This window comes from Homo sapiens, chromosome 2 (genome assembly GCF_000001405.40).
Source record: "Homo sapiens chromosome 2, GRCh38.p14 Primary Assembly".
Taxonomy (NCBI): domain Eukaryota; kingdom Metazoa; phylum Chordata; class Mammalia; order Primates; family Hominidae; genus Homo; species Homo sapiens.
The window spans coordinates 102,444,792-102,470,034 of record NC_000002.12 but is presented as its reverse complement, the minus strand read 5'-3'; the positions used below and the strand labels follow the sequence as shown (position 1 = coordinate 102,470,034).

The 25,243-nt window shown below is 40.3% G+C and overlaps 1 protein-coding gene across 12 annotated transcripts in view; it reads right to left on the bottom strand.

Moving 5' to 3' along the window:
- The window catches only part of IL18RAP (interleukin 18 receptor accessory protein), a 33,945-nt gene continuing 26,171 nt past the window's right edge, over window positions 17,470-25,243 (bottom strand). For 11 of the 12 annotated variants that reach the window (XM_024453197.2, XM_047446162.1, XM_024453199.2 and 8 more), the window contains 4 exons: window positions 24,695-24,846; window positions 22,828-22,965; window positions 19,014-19,187; window positions 17,470-18,269 (listed from right to left, as the gene is read on the bottom strand). In XM_024453197.2, the coding sequence (XP_024308965.1) occupies window positions 17,854-18,269; window positions 19,014-19,187; window positions 22,828-22,965; window positions 24,695-24,846 (880 nt within the window). In that variant the 3' untranslated portion in view covers window positions 17,470-17,853. Of the gene's footprint in view, window positions 18,270-19,013; window positions 19,188-22,827; window positions 22,966-24,694; window positions 24,847-25,243 lie in introns of those variants that run through there. The other variant, XR_007083519.1, reaches the window with a different exon arrangement.

Genomic DNA, 25,243 nt, shown 5'->3' with positions numbered 1-25,243 from the left:
GGCAGAAAAAAATTATGGACTACATACTGTCTACAGAAGTCACATTTTAGTTTCAAAGATACCAGTAGGTTGAAAGTAAAAAAAAAAAAAATGAGAAAAGATATATTACACAAACACTATGCTAAGAGAACTTGAGTGGCTTTACACTGACGAAATATGCTTTAAAATAACAAATGTTACTAGAGATAAAGAGGGACATTTAAGAAAAAGAAAAGTGTCAATCTATCAAGAAGATGTAACAATTCAAACTTATTTATACAAAGTGGGATTTATCTCAGGAAGGCAAGGTTGGTTTAATATTTAAAAATTATTTCATATAACATACATGTCAATAGAATTAAGGCAAAACCACATGACCATTTCAACAGACTGAGAAAAGCATTTGACAAAATCAACAACCTTTTATTTTAAAAACACTCTACAGGTCAGGAATGGAAGGAAACTTCTTCAACATGATAATACACAGCCAACATCATACTTAAAGGGAAAAGACTAAATACATTTCCCTGAAAGAACAGGAACAAGACAAAGAGATACACTCTTGCCACTTCCATTCAATATTCTACTAGAGCTGCTTTTAGTCAGGGCATTTAGACAATGAAAAGAAACAAAAGGCATTCAGATTGGAAGGAAAAAAAGTCAAACTATTTCCACTTGCATGATCTTTTAAATAGATTACTCTAAAATATTTAAACAGAATATCCTGAATAATTGACTAAAAAACTATTAGATATAATAAATGAGTTTAACAAGCTTGTAGGATATGAGATCAATATGCAAAAACAAATTGTGTTTTATAGTGACAATGAATAAAACAAAATGGAATTAAGAAAATAATGCCATTTATAATAGCATCAAAAAATGCAATTCTTAGGAATAAGTTTATCAAAAAAGTGTCACACTTGTATTCTAAAAAAAATTGTTTAAAGAAGATCTAAATAAATGGAAATATGATCCAAATAATAATTATCAGTTAACTTAATTTCTCAGAAAAGATCCATTCACAGGTGCACCAGAGTATCGCAGGGTGCTGTGCGCTTTCCTGTTTATACTTGTGATGGTGAAGGGAAAATATAAACAGTTTTCATTTGCAAAGCAGAGAGTTAAAAGAATCATCCTGGAATTTTAGGTCCGCAGCAAGCTATTGGATACCTGACAGTTTTGATCTAATTATTCAGATAACTATATTGGTTGTAGAAACTTGACCTTCTCTGACCTGCCTTCCTGACCCCTTTTTGGTGCCAGTCCCAAGAATCCCTGTGGTTCTTGTCATCTGTTCATAGAAACCCGCTCACACATAGAGCCCAGTGGCAGGAAAGGAATGGCCAGACATCCTCTCCCCAGTGGGTGCCTTATAATTTAGATTGCTATATCCTGTCTTCCCTCATGGGACTAATTGAGGGTGGTACACATGGCAAGAGAATCTCCCATCCATCCCCCAGGGTTTCAGCTGTGCATAGCCAGAAGAGGAGCTTAGGGAACATTCTTCTCTTTTTACCCTCAGTTTTCTAGAGGCAACTTCTGTTTTAGAGAAGCTCCAAAGGAAAAAAAAAAAAAAAAGGCAGAACTGACACCATATTTTACACATGATGAATTAGAAAGTCACCTCTCTCCAGGAATAGTTTTCAACAAAATAATCAGCACACCTCTTCTTCCTTCCCATAACGTGTGCTCATTGTTGACTTTACCAGAAAGTATTTGTGTAGCACTCTGAGACTAAAGTATCTGTTGCTTGCCCCTGAATTCTTGATACTTTGTCAGGGCTCAAATTTATATTCTTTTTTAGGAAGAAGAATGAAAAAGAGTAGTGATAGAGAATTGGTCAATGCTGTCCAGAAAGATGATTTGCCTTCCAAGACCACAGCTAGCAATTAAACTGGATGGCCTGGATCAAGTTCTGGTATATCATACCCCTAAATTGAAAGCCTACATCTTAAGCTGGAGAGAAGTCAAAAGCTATGACCCTGCTTTCAGGACAGAAAGCTGAGCTCTGTCTCTGCTCCCCAAAGTCAAACTTCCACTGCTCAGAGTGAAACAGAGGGGATGGGTAAAGGCAAAATCAAGTCCAGGAGACCCCCCCTATATGGAAGGAGAGGGTAAATACCACAGTGTAGTCTGGGTGGATGGGGTGGGCATGAATGTAAGCTTTGAAATAAGACAGATCTTCACACCAGAGTTAATGTCAGATTCTTACAGTTCTACTGTGATAGCTTCCCTAAGGGAATACAAACTTTGCAAGGGGGAAAAATTTGAAGCTATGTGAACTTGGGCAAGTCTTAAACCTCTTTCAGTCTCAGTTACTTTATCCACGATGATGATGGTGATGATGATGATGATGCCTATTCTAAAGATGTTTGAGGATTAGGTGACATGACAAATAACAGAAAGAAAAATGCTTAATACAGAATTGATACCAGATTAGTATTAGATTCATTTTATTTCAAAGTGATTATAAACTCCACATAGGTAGAAGTCTAATATCCTTCAGTATCCTATAATACTTCCTAATAAGTTACTTGTCCACAAAACATCCTAAATTTATTGGATGGTGGAAATAAGACAGACAGGTGGTTAAAAATGAAACGTGTCATTTTTCTCTATTTACCCACATTGTCACCAGTCACCACTGTTTAGACAATAAGTCACAGGGCTAGTTGAACCCAGTCTAAAATGGCTGAGCTAGCAATTGTATCTTCCCTAATCTTTCCTCTTTGTTCCAAGGGCTGATCCCCTCCCACTTCCACCCCACTCAACCCATAACCCATCACCAACAACACCTACATTAGGAACGCCTAGTAGGTCTGTTTTCCCTCTTTTCTTTCTTTCCTCAACTAAATTCCTATTCCCTTAGGGGGGACCATGACACTGGATTTCGAGGAACACTGATTCTCATTAAGGTAGGTGGATAACGTGTTCTGACATTGGGAAGAGGCTGCTTTTGTTAGCAGAAGGATTGCTGATAGATATTCAGGCAGTTTAGATAAATGGACATTGCAAACATAAGCCAATGAGATGTGGGCAATACCGTGGACCAGAGGAGACTGCAGTTTTCTCCTTTACTCAGGCTTCGAGTACGTGCATGAGTGTGGAGGAAGCCAGCTGAACTTTATTCACAATTAGTCTTCAAAGAACCAACTCATATACCAGTGACCAGTGCCACCTCCCATTTTCTATAATTCAGTGCAGGTAAATCTATTCCTCCTTCAAGGCTTCTGCCTGCTTCATATCATCTCCAGCATCACATACCCAGGTAAGCTTGGGAACTGTATTAATTTTCTCAGGCTGTCATAACAAGTTATCACAGACTGGGTGGCTTAAACAACAAAAACTTATTTTCTCATGAACAAAAACTTATTTTCTCATGATTCTGGAGGTGGGAAGTCCAAGATCAAGGTGGTAGCTGATTAGGTTTCTGGTGAGGCCTCTCTTCCTGACTTGTAGATGGTTGCCTTCTTGCTAAGTCCTCATGTGGCCTTTTTTCTGTGCAAGCTAGTGTGAGAAAGAAAGAATCTCTGGTGTTTCTTCCTGCAAGGACAATAATCATATGGGTCCAGGGTACTACCCCTGTTACCTCATTAACTTTACCTCCTAAAGACCCTATCACCAAAATCAGACACACTGGAGGTTAGGGGGTAGGGCTTCAAATGTGCATTTTAGGGGGACACAATTCAGTCCATAGAAGAAAACTTTAGGAGAGCTTTCCACTGCCTGGCTCTGGCTTCCTGTGATGAAACTAGTTGTGACCTGTAAAAGAATTTGTTCTCTTTGTTGTCTCGATTGGCAGAACCTGAGTTTTCTTCAGTACTCTATTAAAACAGAAAAGTATGCCAGTATCCCTGGTACAGGACACTTCCATAGCTAGCTTTTTACTTCTGAAATCTGTCCTTTGTTACAAGACAGAGTTTATGTCCCCTAACAATATAGTACTTATGATTATCAGCCTTTAGCAAAGGGAGGGTTTTTGTTAAAGCACTAGAGAGACTCTCCAAAGATCCATCTGTATTAAATCATTGAAATGAACTGCTTATCCCAGAATGCTCTGCTGCAGAACAGATCCTGTAGCTACCAGCTGAGTGGCCACTGAAGCAGAGGCCAGGAAGCATTTTTATACCTAACCAATCTGCCAAGGGTGCCTCAGAAGGAGAGAGCAAGATTCTAAACCTCCACATTTAGTTTCCCCCAATGCTTTAAGTTGAGGCGAAGATAAATATCTCCACCTCGGTAACATGGGCTAGCAATACCACGCTGTCCCCAGATACTTCCCTGCCAGTCTGAGCTTCCATAACTGATAAGACATCCTTCCCTTTGCTTGAATACTTCACTTCTCCATCACCTTCATGACACATAGATGAAAGCATGCTCCTGAACAAAAAAAATAAAAACAAAAACAAACAAATTCTAACATTGATAAGAAACAATTAGCGCACAGTGGGCAAAGAAGGCCTGGGAAACACATGTGTGGTTCCAGAAATTTATGAGGCTAGAAGCAGGGGGTGGGTAATAGGCTCTTGTCAACCAGTAGGCAGGACCTATCCATGGGGTATTTGCCCAGTGCTCAGATGTAAAGGAAGCTGAAAGCCTCTTGGGTCAGGTGGGAGTGGTGGCTCATGCCTGTAATCTAAGCACTTTGGGAGGCCAAAGTGAGAGGATCCCTCAAGCCCAGGAGTTTGATACCAGTGCTAGTAACATAGGAAGATTTCATCTCTACAAAAATTAATAATAATAATTTTAAAAAGCAGGGCATGGTGGTATATACCTGTAGTCCCAGCTAGTCCCAGCTCCTCTGAGAGGGGATTGGGGGAATTGCTTGAGCCCAGGAGGTTGGGGCTACAGTGAGCCATGGTTGAGCTGCTGCACTCCAACCTGGACAACAGAGTGAGACTTTGTCTTAAAAAAAAAAAAAGTCTTTTACAGTGAGGTCATGTTTTGATAATTGAACCAGCATGGGTGGGATTATGCCATTTTGTAGGCAAATGAATTTGTGCACATGGTTCTTGGTCCAAAGTCATTACTGGAACTACTCAGGTAAGAGGGTTTCTAATCAGAATCAGGATGTTTTCTGTGTGAGAAACAAAGATGGGCTTCTGAGGCATAGGACAGCAGGGGCAGGGGCAAAATTTAGGGGCCCAGACATTGGTTCTGCCTCCTCCAGACTCAAGGGTGTGGCCTAACCAGTGCTCAGTTTTGTTCAAGAACCAAGAGCACCCAGGGTTTGTAAGCCCCTCATACAAAAGTCACAGACTGTTCACAATTTTATGTGAAATAGTGATAGAAGCCCTGAGGATCAAGACTGGTAGGGTACCCAGGATGAGGCTATTTTGGCACCTTTGATAGGAATCTCACAGCATGGAGAAAGTGATGGATCTGTAGGAGATCAAATGACCAAGAACATCTTTGCAAGCTATACTGCATGTGCTCCTCCCACAGCAGCCAGCCCTATTCTACTGAGTTTAGTGTCTGTGTATGTTGTTGGATGAGGACCAGTGATGTTGGATGGGTACATGTGATTGTAATTGATCATACCAATTAAACCCACTTGCCATAAGGTACCCACACTTGCACACTCACAGTGAATCCCATTTTACTGAGAAATATGCTAAATGATGGGACTGCAGTGTATTCTGTTCCCTTTGAGAAATGTCTATATTGTACCTACCTGGCAAAAGGGAAGAGACATTTAGTTAATTTTAAGAGAGAAAATCAGAAAGACTTGGAAAAGCGTTGAAGGTGGCCTGCCGCAGTGGCTCACACCTGTAATCCCAGCCCTTTGGGAGCTGAGGCGGGTGGATCATGAGGTCAGGAGTTCGAGACCAGCCTGACCAACATGGTGAAACGCCGTCTCTACTAAAAATACAAAAATTAACTGGGCATGGTGGTACGCATCTGTAATCCCAGCTACTCCAGAGGCTGAGGCAGGAGAATCACTTGAACCCGAGAGGCAGAGGGTTGCAGCGAGCCGAGATCGCACCACTGCACTTCAGCCTGGGCGACGGAGTGAGACTCTGTCTCAAAAAAAAAAAAAAGAAAGAAAGAAAGAAAAAAAACTGTTGGTAAGAGCGCCTACTGGAATAAGTTGTCAATACCTGTTGTGCAAGTCTAGGAGTGGGGTGCGAAGGATTCTTCATTAGGATCTTCACTTGTGTGGTGGTACACAAAGAGCTCAGTTCAGTTGAGCAATGATTGCCTGAACTGCCTTGTCACAGGCACATAGTGCAGAATCAAAAGGCAAGAAGTAGGAATTATGCGGGGAAATGAGACAGAACAACATAGAGGGAAATCAGGATGCTGTCCACCAAAAGAGAACTGTTTCAGTGTGAATTTCTTAACTCTGAAAACCATGACAGTTTCAGATGAGAAAACCCTCAGAACACTCTGAGACGTTAAGAAAGAGAACAAAAAAGACTCAACTTTTTTTGTCAGTTAGGACACTTTAAACTCCGCAACAATAATAAATCATCTAGAAACTTCAGTGGCTGAACATAGGTAGTTTACTTTGTACCCACATTATAGTTTCAATGTGGATAAGGAACACCTTTATCATGTGGGCATGCCAGCTCAAGCATGTAGCCTCCAAGGTCACAATGGGCAAGACAGAGTGTGCAAAAGTTATATCTGCATTGCCTCAGTCTAGAAATCACCCTATCACATCCACTCTACTTCTAGAAAATATTAGTCACGTGTCCCAAACCAACTACAAAGAAGGCTGGGAAAAGTGGCTGTGTGTTCAGAAAAACAAAATGATTTTGGTGAACACGTAACATTTTCTCTGTCACATCGCTGCAGTTAGCTCTAGTTAAAGTACAATTGCGTACATGATCATCCATCCGTAACTGAGTGGTTGATTTGTAAATAGCTTCTTATGAGATCTGATCAGTTGAAGCAAATGCGACCTTAAAAAATGTAGTGAGGCAATGGTGGGAGAAGAGCAACGCCATTTTCTGCAGATATCTTAGTAAATTCAGCCTGTTCAATTATCCAGTTACAGATGTGGGGCTTATGAAAAACTCCTAGACGTGAAATGAACCAGAATACAAAGGTAAGAAAAGCCAGTAAGTGATATTTAACTGTGCCAAGTTCTGGTCAGAGACTTTCCTGTATATAGTTGGCTTTTTAAAGGGCACAGAAACTTACCTGGGGGTGGTACAATCAGAGGTTAAATGGGGCGTTTTTCAGTTGACCTTGAATTTTGGCAAAGGTAACAAATTTAAGGACTTAGAGTGGCAAGTGCACTCTCAGTTCAAACAGAGATGTTAGACAAAACCCCTGCAGGACTTGCTAAGGGTAGCCAAACTGGTCCAGCACTCGCATCCCCAGAGACCTATGTAAAAGACCCTACAGCCCCCCAATTAGAGAGCTCCAAGGTCACAACTCATAGATGCGAGGCTTTCTGCCAGCGGGGAAGACTGACATTTCACCCCTGCTAAAGCTGTACAGAGCTGAGTTCTCATCCCCACAGAATCTATGTAATTGGAATGTAGACAAGTAAAAAAAGTCTTGAAAGAGTTTATAATCTTTTCTTTGGGTTTCAAAAATCAGACTGGTGCCTGATCCTCGGCAGGATATCATTGACAATGGCAGATCAGCTGGAACAAATGCAGTTGGAGAGCAAGGAAAGAGAGGGAAGCCTGGGAGCAATGGTGGGGAAAGTGGGCATCCAATTCCCCATGAACCAGGTGAATGCTGTGCAGAATAACCAGGTTAGAGTCACATTGGAAGAATGGACCATTAGGGGCTTTACTGCATGGGGCAGAAGACGAGGTGGAGACAGAGAAGGTATCACCTTCATCAGGTGCACCAGGAGCAGTGGACATCTTGGTAGGGTTAGGGAGAATGGGTTTACATTTTTATTTTTAAATTAACATACAATAAAATTAGCTTGTTTGATTTACAGTTGTGTGCATTTAAATACGGATGTAAATTCACATAATCACCAAGACAATCAGGTTACATGCTCTTTCTTTGAGACCCGCCCTCCTCCATCCCTAACTCCTGGAAACCAATAATCTGTTCTGTCACTGTTTTGACTTTTTGAAAATGTCATAGAAATGGAATCATGTAACCTTTAGAGATAAGCTTTTTCTACCCAGCATACTGCATTGAGATTTATCCAAGCTGGTGCATGTCTCAGTGGTGAATTCCTTTGTATTGCTGAGAAGTATTTCATGGTTTGCTTGTACAACTATTTGTTAATTAATTCACCCTATACCAGTTATCAATTTATCACCAGTTATCAATGTATTACCTCACAGCTCTGAATTCACCATTCAGTACCTGCTGTGTGTAATGGATTGAATTTTTGAAGCATTCATCCTATACAGTGAGCATAGTATTCACCTCTTTGGTACAGGGAGTTGGACAAGCATTACAGGAGGGTCCGTCTGGTTCCAGCTGCTGTGTTCTGTTTTTTTTTCTCACTTGTGCTGCACCATCAGGCAGCAGTGTGTGTGTGTAGACATCTGTTGGTGCTCTGCACTAGCTATATCCAGAGGAAGCCGTTGCTCAGTGACCTCGCAGTACTAGCTTAGGCCAGGTGACCACCTCCCAATATCTTCCTGATGTGGACACTGTGCACTCCAGGCCGCATGCCCACAGTGGCATTCTGAATGCCCTGTGTACCCGCATATCAACTACAGCTCGCCTGCATCCTAAAGCAGTCATGGCCTGGCCATGCTGCATGTCTGCCCACCAGCCATGGCTTGACTGCACCTGACAGGTTTGCTTCCAGCTTTCCCAGCAACTGTGAACTAGCTCTGACCCAGGCACGTAAGAGACCTTCCTTGCCATTCAGTGGGCTACACCACACTGCTTCTAGTGATGTCTGAACCCCAGTCTTGGGGAGGGGACCACTTGCAACTTTGTCTTTCTACTATCTCTCAGCCCTGAGATACTCTTTGGAGTTCTATTCATGTCCTTATAATCAGTCTCTCATCACAGCCAAATAATCATTTATATCATAATATCCCTTTTTAAATTACTACATGATTTCTGTCTTTTGATTGGACTTTAGCTGACACATACTGGTTGAAAGTCCTTGAGTTTTTCTAGGTATTAGTTATTATGAGTAGAGCCACAATAAACATTTGTGTATTGGATTTTGTGTGAACGTAAGTTTTTATTTCTCTGGGGTAAATATCTACAAGTAGGATGTTTTGGGCATCTAGTAAGGAAGTCACATTATAAGGACTTGTTAAATTGTTTTGTAGGGTGGCTGCACTATTTTGCACTCTCACCAGTAGTATATGAGAGTTCTAGTTTCTCTACATCATCACCATTTCGTGTTGTTAGGTTTCTTTTCTTTTTCTCTATGTGCCCCATGGTGTGTGTGTGTGTGTGTTTTCTCCTTGTGGCTTTAATTTCCATTTTCCCAGTGGATGGTGCTGTTGCACATCTTTTTATGTGCCTGTTTGCCATCTGTCTGTCCTCTTTAGCAAAATGTCTATTCAAGTTTTTGCTCCTTTTTTAATTGGTAGCTACTTGTTATTATTGAGTTTAGAGAAATCTTTATAAACTCTCAGCACAAGTCCTTTATTGGACTTGTGATTTTGAAATAATTTTTGTCAATTTAAAGCTTGTTTTTTTTTTTCATCCTTTTAGCAGTGGTTTTCTCGGAAAAAGTGGTTTTAACTTTGTTAAACTCCAACTTTTTTTTTCTCTACGGATCATGCTTTTGGTGTTACATCTAAGAACTCTTTTTCTAATCCTAGGTCATGTTTTCTTCTAACAGTTTTATAGATTTAGGCTTTACATTGAGATCTATGGCCTATTACAAGTTAATTTTGTATAAGCTGTGAGCTTCATCTTATTGCATATGTATGTCCAATTGATGCAAAACCATTTGTTTAAAACTCTATTCTTTATTGAATTGCCTTTGAAAATTTGTCAAAATCAATAGGCCATATTTGTGTGGATGTATTTCTAGACTTTCTACTCAGTTCCATTGATCTATTGCTTTGTTAATATCACACCATTTTGGTTGCTGTAACTTTTTATTGATTCATAAAATCGTCTAGCATGACTCCTCCAACTTTATTTTCTTTTCCAAATAGCTTTGGTTTTTCTAGTTTATTCGCTTTCCCACATATATTTTAGAATTAGTTTGCCTATAATCTACAAAAAATTCTGCTGGAATATCAGTTGGAATTGCGTTAAACCTCTTAATCAATGTAAAGGGGATTGTTGATTTGACAATATGTTGAATCTTTGTATCACCAAACATGCTATGCTTCTCTCTTTATTTAATTGTTCTTTAATTTTGCTCATAAGTATTTCATAGTTTTTAGCTTATGGAACATCCACACATTCTGTTCATTTATACATGAATCTCCCTCCCTCCCTCCCTCCCTCTCTTTCTTTCTTTCTTTCTTTCTTTCTTTCTTTCTTTCTTTCTCTCTTTCTTTCTTTCTTTCTTTCTCTTTCTTCCTTTCTCTTTCCTTCCTTTCTTTCTTTTTTCTCTCTTTCTTTCTCTCTTATTTCTTTCTCTTTCTTCCTTTCCTTCCCTATCCTTCCTTCTTTCCTTCCTTTCCTCTTTCTTTTTTGACCTATTATAAATGGTAATGTCTGTAACATCTGGTTTTCAATTGTTTCTTAATAGAGATAGAAATACATTTGATTTTTACGTTGTTAATCATGTATCCTAAGAACTTGCTAAACTCACTTATCAGTTCTAGGAATATTTTTATAGCTTTCTTGGATATTCTACATAGAAAATTACTTTTTAGAAAAAAAGGAGAGATTGTTTCTTTCTTTCCAAACTGCATGCATGTTATTTCTTTTCCTCGTCTTATTGCACTGGTGAAAACTTTCATACAAGGTTGTATAGTATTCTGCGAGTAAGTATCCTTGCCTTGCTTCCCATCTTATAGAGAAAACATACATACAGTCTTTCACCATTTAGTATGATTTTTTCATCTATAGTTTGTTTGTTGTTGTTTTTAGAGCCCCTTATCATGATGAGAAAATTCCCTTCTATGCCTAGTTTGCTGAGAGGTTTTATGACGAGACGATGGTGAATTTTGTCAAATATATTTTTGGAATTGGTTCATATGATCATGTCTTTGTTCTTCCTTACACTGTTAATATAAAGAATTACACTGAAATATTTTAAAATATGAAGCCTGCCCTGAATACCCATGATAAGCTCCACTTGGTTGTGATGCATTATTCTATTTATATATTACTAGGTTCAATTTGCTAATATTTTCTTGAGTATTTTTGTGTCAATGTTCATGAAGAATGTTGGTCTATAGTTGTCTTATAATTTTTTTTGTTTGGTTTTGGTATTAGAAAAATTCTGGACTCATAATAATTTGCATAACTTAGGAAATGTTCCTTCTTCTGTTTTCTGAAAAAAATTGTGTAGGATTCACATTTTTTTTTTCCTTTAAATGTTTGATAGAATTAGGCAGTGAAACCATCGGGGTCTGAAGATTTTATTTTTGGAAATTTAATAATAGGAATTAATTTTTTTAACAGTTATGACCAATTAGGTTATTTATTTAATATTGGATAAGTATTTTTAGCTTGTGGTTTTTGAGCATTTATCCATTTCATTTAGGTTGTCAAATATGTATTTATACAGTATCCATAACATTTCCTTATTCGTTTAAGATGTGCAGGATCTGTATTGATATCTCTTATCTCACTACTAATACTGGTAATTTGTGTCTTCCTTCTTCTTCTTTTTTTTTTGGTCAGTCTTGCTAGGAGTTTTTCAGTTTTATTGATGCTCTCGAAGAACCAGGTTCCTGTACTATTGATTTTCTTTATTGTTTTATGTTATTCAATGGCAGTGGTTTCTGCTCTCAAATTTATTATTTTTTTTTGGCTTCCTAAGGTGGAAGTTTAGATTATTAATTTATATATTTTCCTCTTTTAACATAAGTATTTAATATTATATACTTGCCCTTAAGCATGGCTTTAGTCTCATCTTGCAAATTTTGATATGTTGCATTTTCATTTCCATTCATTTGAAAATATCATTTCATTTGCTTTGAGACTTCCATTTTTATCCATAGATTATTGAGAAATGTGTCACTTAATTTCCAAATGTTTTGAGATTTTTCCCACCATCTTTCTCTTAATAATCTCTAGTCTGAATTCATTATAAATCCATTATAAATACAGAATATAACTTTGTACAATTTCAATTTCTAAATTCTTGTTATTGTTTGTTTTACAATCTAGGATACGGTATATCTTAGCACATGGTCGGTGTGTACATCAAAAGATTGTGTATTCTGCAATCATTGGGTGGAACATTCTATAAATGTCAAGTAGATCTAGAAAACAACAATTAAGTAGTGTTGTTCTATATTCTTCTTCTTTTTTTTTCTGAGACGGAGTCTCACTCTGTCACCCAGGCTGGAGTGCAATGGCACGATCCGGCTCACTGCAACCTCTGCTTCCTGGGTTCAGGAGATTCTCCTGCCTCAGCCTCCTGAGTAGCTGGGATTACAAGCACGCGCCACCATGCCTGGCTAATTTTTTGTATTTTTAGTAGAGACGGGGTTTCACCGTGCTGGGCAGGCTGATCTCAAGCTCCTGACCTCGTGATCCGCCCAACTCGGCCTCCCAAAGTGCTGGGATTACAGGCATGAGCCACCACGCGCAGCCTATATTCTTGATAAATTTCTGTTTACCATTTTATCAATACTTGAGAATAATATTCAAGTCTCCAACTACAGTCGTGGATTTGTCTATTTCTTCTTTTAGTTCTGTCAGTTTTGCTTCATGTATTTTGAAGCACTGCTGTTAGGTGCATACACATTTAATTAAGACTGTTATGTCCTGTTGGTAAATTTGTCCTTTTATCATAATGTAATATCTGTTTTTCTCTCTGGTAATTTTCTTTGCTCCAAAGTCTCCTTTAGCTGATGTATTATAGGTACTCCAGGGCCTGACATGGTGGCTCATACCTACAATCCCAGCACTTAGGGAGGCAAAGGCAGGCAGATCACTTGAGCTCAGGAGTTCAAGACCAGCCTGGGCAAGATGGTGAAACTCCATCTCTACAAAAAAAATGTGAAAAAAATTAGCCGGATGTGGTGGCACACATCTGTGGTCCCAGTTACTTGGGGGGCTGAGATGAAAAGATTGCTTGAGCCTGTGAGGTCGAGGCTGCAGTGAGCCATGATACACCACTGTGCTCCAGCCTGGGTGACGGAGGGAGACCCTGTCCCCAAAAAATGTGCATAAATATATATTTATTTATTTAGAAACAAGTAATATATAAATATATTTTTCATATACTATGTATAATATATAATAAATAGTAATTTACATTAACATGTTCATCATATAAAATATATAATATATTTATTAATATATTATTCATTTCTAAAGAATATATAAATAAATAATATATATATAGGCACTCTAGCTTTCTTTTAATTAATGTTCATGTAATTATATCTTATTAACCTACCTACACCATTATACTCAAAGCATTTTTATTGTAAGGGGGTTAAATTTCTTGTTCAGATAAGCTTGCAAAAGACAATGTGCTGAGAATGCAGGACAATGATCAAGATTTCACTAATTTTAAAGACAGCAAATTAGCTGAATCTGGTTCTGATCAAGTCAAATCTGATAAAAGGCTTACTGAAGATGGTTTTAAATAAATTTATAAAAGTTTATTCTAATAATCTCTGTCTTTTAATTATTGTGTTTAGACATTTTACACTTAATGTAATTATTATGATGTTTGGATTTATGTCTACCATTTTGTTATTTGATTTCTATTTATCTTAGTTTTTGTTCCTCTGTTTTTCTCTTCCCTTCTTTTGGATTATTTAAACATTTTGATTATTCCATCAAAACATTTTTATTGTGGAAAGAATGCTCAACATGGGGCCTATCCTCTTAATCAATTTTATGTGTACAATACATTATTGTTGACTATAGGCATAATGTTGTACATTATGTGCTTTTCCATTTCACGTATCTGATATTTTATGCCTATTTATCAATCACTTCCTATTTTCCCCAGCCTCCAGCCACCATTTTAGTCTTTGATTTTATGCATTTGACTATTTTAGATACCTCACATAAATGAAATTATGCAGTATTTGTCTTTCCGTGTCCAGCTTATTTCACATAGCATTCTTCCTCAAGGTCTGTCCATACTGAGACCTATTGCAGAAATTCCTTCTTTTTACAGGCTGAATAGTATTTCTATGTCCATCATGTTTTAACAATATTTGATGTTTTGTTTGTTTGTGTTAACGGTTACTCAATGGAATAAAATATTACACACAACTTTCACATTCTACTTAGAATCAATAGTGTGCCACTTCAAGTGGGAAATAGACACCTTACCGTCATCTGGGCCCCTTACCTGCCCTCCTTTATGTTGCATTACATCTACCTATATTGAAAATCCTACCAGAAAATGTCATAATTTTGCTTTTAACAAATTACAGCCTGGATGTTTTAAACATTATGTTATACGATTCTAGATCTTGTTGAAATCTTATGTATTATGTTATTTCTGCTTCAACAGGCAATTAGCCCAGTGGGATTAAGGCTCCAAACTAAGCCTGTGGTTTCAATTTCAGTTTTGTTTCACTGCCTTTCAGTTCTATTTGGACCTACTTCATATTTATACCTTTCAGCAGCCAGTCTGGAACTCAGAAAGTGATCTCTCCTATAGCTCAGTTCTGAAAGTTTATGGTATTCCCTTTAGGATCAGATTCATACATGCACAGCTTGGGAATGGGTCCAAAGGTTTATAAACAATTTTATGGATTCAGTTTCCTGAGCTCCTTTCTGCCTGTACTCTCCTCCTCTGTGCAGTTCTCTGGCCAAAGCATTGAGGCTTTATTTACTTCACTCTGCAGTGCACTTCCTACAACTGCTTACATCCACCTCACGAAAAGGTAAGAGGATAAAGAAAGAATAAAACATCAACAGAGGCTTGCCACACCCTACTGGGACTACAGGTCCTCATATCAAGGTGGACAATTCCCTTTCCTGGAGATTTAGGCTCTCGAGGGCCGCTAATACCACTGCTTTTGGTGGTGTCACTGGTGCTACCACAGGATTGCTTAGAGAGTGGGCAATGAAAGAAAATGAAAGGGAAAATATGGAAGGGCTAGGAAACTCTTTCTCAGTCTTCAAGCCAGAACTAGAGTGCTTCTTCTGAAGCTCTTTCTGTTATCACTGATGTCTACTTCTGGGTTTCAGACTGTACTGAGTCTAAGTCAGAAGAGACTGGAGACAAATTATGAGACTTTGAATTATTGTCTTCCCCAATCCGTCTGCTTCTATTTACTTTTCAGAATACTCAAATTGATTTTTGATGCATTTTTATCCAGACTTTATGGCTGCACTAGGAGGAAGAGACAGGATGGTGTTGTTCACTCCATCTTACCTAGAATTTTAACCTAGAAATGATATAGATGTTAAATGTAGGTATTAAAACCCGAAAAGGACCAGGAAAGCTATGAGAACTGCTCGGGCTATCATAGAAGGGTCAGTAAGGAGTTCTCTATGATGAGTGTTAGAGGTAGAGTGACCATCATCCAAGGTAGGACACTTTTTCAGAGTGAAAGAGAGTACTATAATAATTATACTTGGACAATAGGTGCAACCAGGAACTAGAACATATGGACACCTCAGAAGATGTGACAGGGAAATAATACTCTTTTCTAATTATATTCCACTGAGTCCAATTGTTCTATTGCAATCAGTCTCCTATACATAGAAAATTTGTTTTGGTTGTCTGCTTTGTTGTGGTTAATTGACATATAAGAAATATAAATAGCCCCCTGTCCCGAATGCTACCTTGTTATGTTCAGTGTACCTAGCAGCCTGGAAAGAGTGTATTCTGTAAATATTACAGCTGGCTATTTCTCCTTTTGTGTATGTGCTAACCTGAAGCTCTATTTGATTTTCCACGAAGCTAAGGTCAAAACGCTGGACATCTGAATAGCTTGGTTCTAGCATTATCTATCTTAGGATAAACTGAACAAAGTGGCCAAAAGAAGTCTGAGTCTTAAATCTCAGAGAGTGGCGGGCAGGAAGGCCAGGGATCCTGGCCATCACCAAAGCACAATGGCACAGTGACAATATGGGCTCCTCTTCACTGAGACCCTGCAATGATCCTTCCCACAAGAAACTTCCTCCAAGAATAATTTATACCCTTTAACTCATTGTTAACTTTATCACTGAAATTTCCAACAAGGATGTTGCTTGGTGCCAAAGCCACAGTGGTTTTTATGATGTGGGTGCCTCTGTGAATAAAGAGCAGAAGAGTGTTTCACGCAGGCCCCAAGACGACAATGACTTTTAGCCACTCTGAACTTGGATCACATCCAGACTGGTGGGTGTGACACACTGCATGTGAATGAGTCCAGACATTGCTTTTATTTATTGCTCAGATGATAAATCATTTTATTCCTTCAGAAAAGACAGAGTATAAGAGCTTGATGTTTATACGTGAGTGGAACACTATTTTAACTGCAGGTTAAACTCTGGTAAAGGAAACACACTTATGAGGAGGAAATTGGCCTCGTCTATCAGAAACAGTTTCATGGCCCTGCAGCCCATCACCTTATTACTTAGGAGAACTTAAAGGGAGACGCCCAGATCGGAAGCCCATAGGATCGCCAGCCTCAGCAGAAGGTTCAGGCTACAGCTCTGTTCACATTCCATTCTTGCTGCTGTTTAACCAGTGTATATCCTTATTCCCCAGACTCTTAGCTGCACTGCTGACTCTGGCCAGTGTCTCTCTGCTTTGTATGTCACTGCAAGTGCATTCCTTGTCTCTTCATTGGCCTGATCATTTTGGTCCAGTTGGTCTGTACTTCCAGGGGCCCAGGGTAAGGATTTACACTTTTATACCTAACACAAAGATCTCTGGCCGACATCACAAGGAGGAGCTGAAATTAACTCTACTCTTCTTTCCAAGCCCATATCCTGGCACAGACTGCATCTCCCCCCGCCCCCAAAAAAAGGGATTCTTCTTCTAGTTCATCCACCCAGTGTGGGCACTTCGCATGAGGACACAGTAGAAACCAACCCTAGCCCTGTCTATTCTGGGTCCCGTTAGTCTTTACCTTTTATGCTCACTTTCTGTGCTCCAGAGTTGTTGGCTGACCATGGAGTAAGAATTGTCTTCTTTACAGAAATTCTTCGGGCAGAGTTTCAATCACTTGTTTCTAAGGCCAGCCATGGTGGCTCACGCCTATAATTCCAGCACTTTGGGAGGCCGAGGTGGGCCGATCTCCTGAGGTCAGGAGTTCGAGACCAGCCTGGTCAACATGGTGAAACCCCGTCTCTACTAAAAATACAAAAATTAGCTGGGCATGGTAGTGCATGCTGTAATCCCAGTTAGAAGGGAGGCTGAGGCCGGAGAATTGCTTGAACCCAGGGGGCGGAGGTTGCAGTGAGCCAAGAACATGCATTCCAGCCTGGGCGGCAGAATGAGACTCTGTCTCAAAAAAAGAAAAAAAAGAAAAAAATCACTCATTTCTAATAAAATAATATTTATTTGATTGCAAGTATACATAAAGTCATATGTACAATACATGGTAGACATGACAGTTCCCTAGCCATAAGGCAGAAGTAGCTGTATTTTCTGATTCTGCTCGGACCACTGGGAAATCTTAGGGGTGTTGTGTACTGAAAGTACCCAAGGTCTAGAGAATTCACTCGCCGTCAGTCCAGTCCAGGAAATCAAAGGCTCTAAACCACAGTCTCAATCCCACTCCATTGTCCATCAAGCTTGCTTGGTGCTGGCAGGAGACTCTTTGAATTTCCTATCAGCCTGAACACACACACACAGAGCTGTGAGTTCTGTCCAGCAACATCTCTATCCCAGGGACTGGACTGGAGGGGGCTCCAGGGCTCATTTCACCATTCCTTAGGCTGGGAGCTCCTCCCAGTGGTTTCTGTTCTACTGAGTCCTTTCCACTGAAAAATCCTAGAGGTAATTCTGAGCTGGTTCCACGTGAATCCCTGAGAGTTTTTCACAGGCATGTGGTAGCGCATTTTGGCCCAGAACCTAGAATTGGGAGGAACTGATTTTAAGCCTCTCCAAGTAACTGTGGGCAAAACCCTGAGAGCTTTTTTCACGAGATGAGGTAGAGACTCTGGCTCTTGGAAGTAACAGAACTTAATTAAAATGAGTTTCAGTGTTTGATCATCCAAGGCAAGATTCACTGCTGCTTGTAGTTCAAAGATACTGGGTCCATTGACATAGTTGGGGCTCAAGATAAATATTCCTCTTCTGCTTCTCTTAATAATGCTCACAATGTCTTCTGCATACACTGGAAATAAAACATTTGATTATTTGCAATGGATATTGTTAAACCTTGAGTCAGAGAGGTCCTTGCAATGGATTCTCTTACATAAGGAGGAAGGGAGACATGTTTACTCTACCACTTACACTGTATCAGCTCTATTGCCAGTTGGAGATACGCTCCAGTGTCTAGTGACCCTCACCTTTACATTCCCTGCTTTGTGTCCAGTCTCCCCAAATTGGCAATTCCTCTAGGAATAAAGCTGACTGGAACTAGGTAAGCTGGGATAATGGGAGCCATGGAACATCCCAGGCTCCTTGGTGGGGGTATCTGAGGAGGAGGAGGCCAGCAGGACAGGCTGAGATCTGGACTTCTCAGGGTGTCCAGGGCGTGGCCCAGGCCTGAGAAGCCTGCTTGACCCAGTGCTGAGTGAGCTTTGTGGAAGGCAGAGTCCCAGAAATCAGAGGGGCCACTAAATTGGGGTGAGCGAGTAGTTCACTTCGCAGCCTTCAGCTGCGAAGCCAGGAGAGGTATCTTTGTCCTAGAAGGACTGCCTAGGGCCCCATGTGATTGTCTTCTTCTGCAGATGGATTTGTTTGATAATGGAACACATCTCTGGAACATATAGTTTCTGTGTTGTTGCCCAAGATGTTCTAACCTCATGTAATCTCCCAGATCTATATTCCAAAACAAAGAATGACAAAAAAGACTTGGGGATTGCATTGAACTGCCCTTTTTGCACTGCAGTTTTTCTTGACATGTTGGACTTACCTCCTCCTGGAGCCACATCTCTTTCAAGCAAACACAGGCTATATCCATATTTGTTTTCTAAAACATCAGGAAATAGGCTCAGGGCCAAGTGTTCTTCACTCAGAGATGAAGTGGCCTCACTTGGAAAAGAGCTCCATTTTGCATAGGATACGAAAGCATCAAAATCCTTTTTATCTGAAGAATAGGAAAATTTATAAAAACATAAGTCATTTACTCTTTTTTTTACTGTTATGGTACACATACATATGCTTGAATCATATGGTAAATGAATAAGAAATAATATTTGGGATCCTGACTAAATTGATTTTAAAAATTCATTTCAAAATCATACCACTGAGCGGTATTGATTTTTCACCCCAAATCGAATTCTAATTTATGAAGCAGTCTTGCATTTTTACTGATTTTAGGTCAAATGGCTGAGGCATTCTTTGATTAAGTCACATGAACTCAGGAGTTTCTCTGAGCCTTCTTTGCACCTGCAGTGTTTCTGTCTCATTAGTCACACATCAAGCAGGAGTCTGCCCCATCCAACATGATGATATCCAGTAAGCAAAGTACTGCTAACACCCAGCACATCGTATCCAAGGAGAAAAAGTACTTGCTCGGAGAGTTGATGGCCCATATGCTGATATGTGAATCCCCATATGTAAAATAAAGACAATCATAACTCCTGGGCAGGCTGTTTTAAGGGTTTCATGAGATAATGTATATGAACTTCTTGGTGCCTGGCTCATAGGAGGTGCAAGATAAATGTCCATTCCCCTCTATTCTAGATGGAAAACTATATGTATATAACTTGTTATAGGATATTTTCATATGCATACTTCATAAATGCATATGATTACTGAGACTAAGGAACTCACTGGAAGAAGTAGAAAATCCCAACACTTAACTCACAGGCTTCGGAATGGGATACATCAGATTTGTATTCCAGCAATTTCCACAATCCCTGTCAAAGTATTGTTACAAAACGGTAAACAGTAGCCCTGATTGCTGATGCTATTTAGTAGTACACCATGTTCAAGGTGAACCTAAAATGATGCCTCGGTGGATGGAAGTACCAGGTACCAAAAGGGAAGCTCCCAGAGTCAACAGAGGAGGATATAAAAGAGCTGAGGTTGGGAAACTAACCTATGAAGCACCTCATTGCTCATGTAGGAAGGATGAGACTTGTGGGGCATGGCTGGCAGGTAGGTGCTGTGCTGTTTAAATGTGTAACACACCACAGTTGCCTCTATTCCTTCCACATCATGTGAAATCCCAGCAAACTAAAATTTTTCTATAACCTGGAAACTACATTTATTTAGTCATAAAATTAGAGAGTGGAGTATTAGATGATCTCTGAGGTCCTCCAGAATTCTAACATTCTACATCTCTAAAATTTTGGTTACTTAGCATTAACTTCAAAGCAGTCATTTTGCTAAAAAATGTTAGGTTGGCCAACAGAGGGCACTGCATCCCCGTGCTTGAAAACTGGATTCTGCCTCCAGATCTGATCACTAAAAACATTGTCTTTGCAAAATAGAAAAAGAAAGGACACAAGTAAATGTTTCCCCATTGACTGACTCTTCTAAGCCAGCTCCAGAATCTTAAGGTAAATAGCATTTTATGACCTTGATTACATAATTTGCTTCATTCAAAAAAGTTATTAAAATAAATCTTAAAAACATTTCTCTTAAGGATTTCTAGTATGTATTCTCTATAGTAAGTTTAAAGAAAGATGTGACTGATGCATTTCTTTCTTCCTTTTTTTTGAAAAGGAGTCTTGCTCTGTCACCCAGGCTGGAGTGCAGTGGCATGATCTCGGCTCACTGCAACCTCCACCTCCCAGGTTCAAGTGATTCTCCTGCCTCAGCCTCCTGAGTAGCTGGGATTACAGGTGCCTGCCACCAAGCCTGGCTACATTTTGTATTTTTAGTAAGGATGGGGTTGCACCGTGTTGGCCAGGCTGATCTCAAATCCAGACTTCAAGTGATCCGCCCACCTGGACCTCCCAAAGTGCTGGGATTACACATGTGAGCCACTGCTCCCGGTCACTTTTTTTTTTTTTTTTTTTTTTTTGAGATAGGGTATCGCTCTGCCATCCAGGCTGGAGTGCAGTGATGTAATCATGGCTCACTGCAGCCTTGACCTCCGGGGCTCAGGTGATTCTCCCACCTCAGCCTCCTAAGTAGCTGGAACTACAGGTGGGTACCACCACGCCCAGCTAACATTAAAAAATTTCTTGTAGAGGCAGGTTTCACCATGTTGCCCAGGCTGGTCTTGAACTCCTGAGCTCAAGCATTCCTCCCACTTTGGCCTCCCAAAGTGCTGGGATTACAGGTGTGAGCCACCACACCCAGCCTCCCATGCCGGTCTTTATTCACCCTTTCTTCCCCCAGGGATCTGACAACTCCTCACTGAATTCCTAGTTTGGGAACGCACTGGAATTTGGAGGGGCCTCTCAGTAAGGTAAATAATTATCCGTGAAATCCTGCAAAAGGGGATTCTGCTTTTTCCAAGCAACAGAGTCATTTACTAAAACTGCAAACCTTCTAACCTTGGAGATTTCCAGGACTAGAAAAAAACAGAAGCAAGACTTCTATTCCACAGAAGCAAACATCAATGAACATGATTATCTTGCCTCAAATATTGACAGGCACTTCATTAATAGTAATAGCACTTGCATTTTACAGGACTTCTCACTTTTGGGGGCATTCCCACCGTCTTAAAAGCCTCATTTTACAGATGAGGCTAACTGAGGTAACAGCTAATGAAACCTCTTAAGCCAGACAACCTGTGCCCAAATCCCAAGCTCTAATGCCTTCCAGTAGTTCAATTGTAGGCACATGACTTCCTGTCTCTCTACCTGGCTGGTAGGATTGCTGTGACCATTAAAGTAGCTAACACACATGGCAGGCATACACTCTAGTCCTCAAGAAACAGCCATAGTCTGGCACATGCTGAGCTATTTACCGTGTACTGGGCACCATTCTAAATACTTAATGTGGCTGGGCACGGTGGCTCACGGCTGTAATCCCAGCACTTTGGGAGGCCGAGGCGGACGGATCACTTGAGGTCAGGAGTTCGAGACCAGCCTGGCCAACATGGTGAAACCCAGCAGTCTCTACTAAAAACACAAACAATAGCTGGACATGGTAGCGCATGCCTGTAATCCCAGCTACTCAGGAGGCTGAGGTAGGAGAATTGCTTGAACCTGGGAGGCGGAGATTGAAGTAAGCTGAGATGGTGCCACCGCACTCCAGCCTGGGAGACAGAGCAAGACTCCATCTCAAAATAAATAAATAAATAAATACATACATACATACATACATAAATGAATGAATACTAAATGTGTCTTAAGAATACATCAGTGAGCCCTCACAGCATCCTTTGCAATTGGTGCTATGACAATCCTGTTTTATAGATGAGGAAACAAAGGCACAGAGATATTCACTCATTTGCCCTATTGCTTTAGGTTGGTTATAGAGGGATTATTTTTAAGTCCAACATGTTTCACAATAGCATTGCCTACAAGATTCCTGGCAACTGGAATGAAAAAAATAATTGTTTCTCCAGCCTTCCTCAGTGTAAGGTCACTAGACCTGGAGGAAGGCCTCAAAACCTCAGGGGCATGACTTTATCCAGTGGGGACATTTCTTTCTTCAGCTCCTCCTTTATGCTCTGCCCTGGCTGGCAGGGGACATTTGAAGTTCTTTTCTAAGGTAACTCTGAGGAAACAAAGCCAAGGGGTAGTGATGGTATTTTCTGTTGTCCTGCTCCAAGTCAATTCCCAGAGGAAAAGTCAGAGGGCTGCATGTGGAGGTAAACTTACCCCCAAGCGTCTGATCCTTGCTCTGGTAGGTCCGGTACAGCAGCACTATTTCAATCCAGTGCCTGTAGAGGAGGGCACTCGCCGCCAGCACGGCCACCAGGGTCCCGATGGTGCCAAGCAGGATGTACAGGAGCACCACTGTGGAGACAGGGCCAGTATGAAGAGACATAGAGGCAGCGGGATTGGACCAAGACCATGTTCAGGCCGGCGCTATGGCCCACCCAGCACCTTTTCCAGCTCTATTATTTTATCAAAATCATTGCCACTAGCAGCAGTTTTTGTGAATCTGGAAACCTCTCAAATCACACCATGGAATACTACTTAGCCATAAAAAGGAACAAAATAATGGCATGTGCAGCAACCTGGATGGAGTTGGAGACCATTATTCATTATACTTTTTTTTTTTTTTTTTGGAGACGGAGTCTGTATGTCGCCCAGGCTGGAGTGCAGTGGCGCGCAGCTCACTGCAAGCTCCGCCTCCCGGGTTCACGCCATTCTCCTGCCTCAGCCTCCCAAGTAACTGGGACTACAGGCGCCCGCCACCACGCCCGGCTAATTTTTTTTGTATTTTTAGTGGAGACGGGGCTTCACCTTGTTAGCCAGGATGGTGGATACCATTATTCTAAGTGAAGTAACTCAGGAATGAAAAACAAAACATTGTGTGTTTTCACTTATAAATGGGAGCTAAGCTATGAGGACGCAAAGGCATAAGAATAATACAACGGACTTTAGAGACTGAGGGAGAAGGGTGGGAGGGGAGTGAGGGATAAAAGACGACACAACGGGTGTAGTGTACACTGCTCGGGTGACGGGTATGCCAAAATCTCAAAAATCTAAAGATTTTCAGATTGAAGAACTTATCCATGTAACCAAAAACCACCTGTACCCCCAAAACCTATTAAAATAAAATTTTAAAAAATCACATTTTGAGACCTGTCTTACAATAAACACTAGAGACCCCAGGGGAATGGGCAGTTCCTGATCAGGGTGGCCTGGGAAACTTATCATATTCCTTTTATTTTTTCCCCTCGTAAACGTCCACACAATCCATTTACATCTCTCTCATTGCATATTGTAAATTATTTTCCTGTATTATCATTCCTACTGCAGCCTAAATTTCCTGAGACCAGGAGTCCCATCTGGCTTACCTGACACGAGGGATCTCCTGCATACTCCCATGGGGGAAAACCCCCTTCACAGAGCGTTTACTACAGGCCAGAACACACTTTGTCTTGTTGAAGCCTCAGAAACATTCAAACCTGCTTATAACTATAGTTATCTATTAATTAAAGGAATGAATGATATCAATTTCATCTCTGGGCATCTTTTCAAAGAAATTTAAACGCTTTTCCTTACCTAGAATTTCTACTCCAGCTTTTTTTTTTTTAATATATCCGTGATATACACACACCATTTTGAACAATGAACAAGATTACTCCTTCTCTCTTCCATTCTCCACTCATCAGAACATGAATCCATCATGTCCTTTGGATTTGAAAGCCAGGAAAGAAAAATTGGAAAGGAGGCTAGGTCTTAGCACAATGCCTGCCATTCTGGGCATACCCCATAGCTATTGTAGAATGAATGCGTGAATGAATGAGTGCATGAATGAGTTGCTTTTCCAACATGGCCTCCCAAACGCAGACTATTACTTAAGAGAACTAGCTCTAAACCAGTAATATGCAGTTTACTAGTTGTGTGGCTTTGGTCAAGGTATTAAATGGGTTGACACCAGGAAAGTGCTTAAAACAATGTCTGTCACCTAGAAAATGTAATCGCTGTCATCATTATTACTATTCTTTAGGAAAACTCCTCCCCTCTCAAGTGAAAGCAGTTTCATGCCTCCTGGGCAACCTTCTGGGCTTACCTCCTCTCTTTTCTTTCAGTTGGACGGACTGGGTTGTGTTTCCAATGGAGTTCTGGACAAAGCAAACAAACTTCCTGCGAAGATCACGCTGAGTGACTTTTTCCAAGATGATATTACGCTCAATGATTTCATCCTTTAAAGTGGATTTAATACTGAGAAAGGAGAAAAAATACCACTCCATTCAGTAACATACATTGACACCCATTTGCAGCATTTGGAACACGTATAAGCAGCCAACAGTTTGGCTTTTAGAGAACTGTGAGATCAATAGTATAAGATACCACGAGAATGTAAGATGGTCAAAAAGGGCTCATTCTTGATTCAATTATTGACTCTTCTAAGCATTCACGCTAAGACATTATTTATTTGTGAGACTCATCTGACCTTCCTTACTCTTAAGAATTCCCCTTGAGAATAGATAATAACAATACCTTAAGAAAAATATTTAAAATGACCAACTCCTACTGAAGGTTTACTATGTATCAGTCCCTCTTCTGTGCACAAAATATGGACTCTAATGTCCTCCATTCCTCACCTCCCAGGAACCCT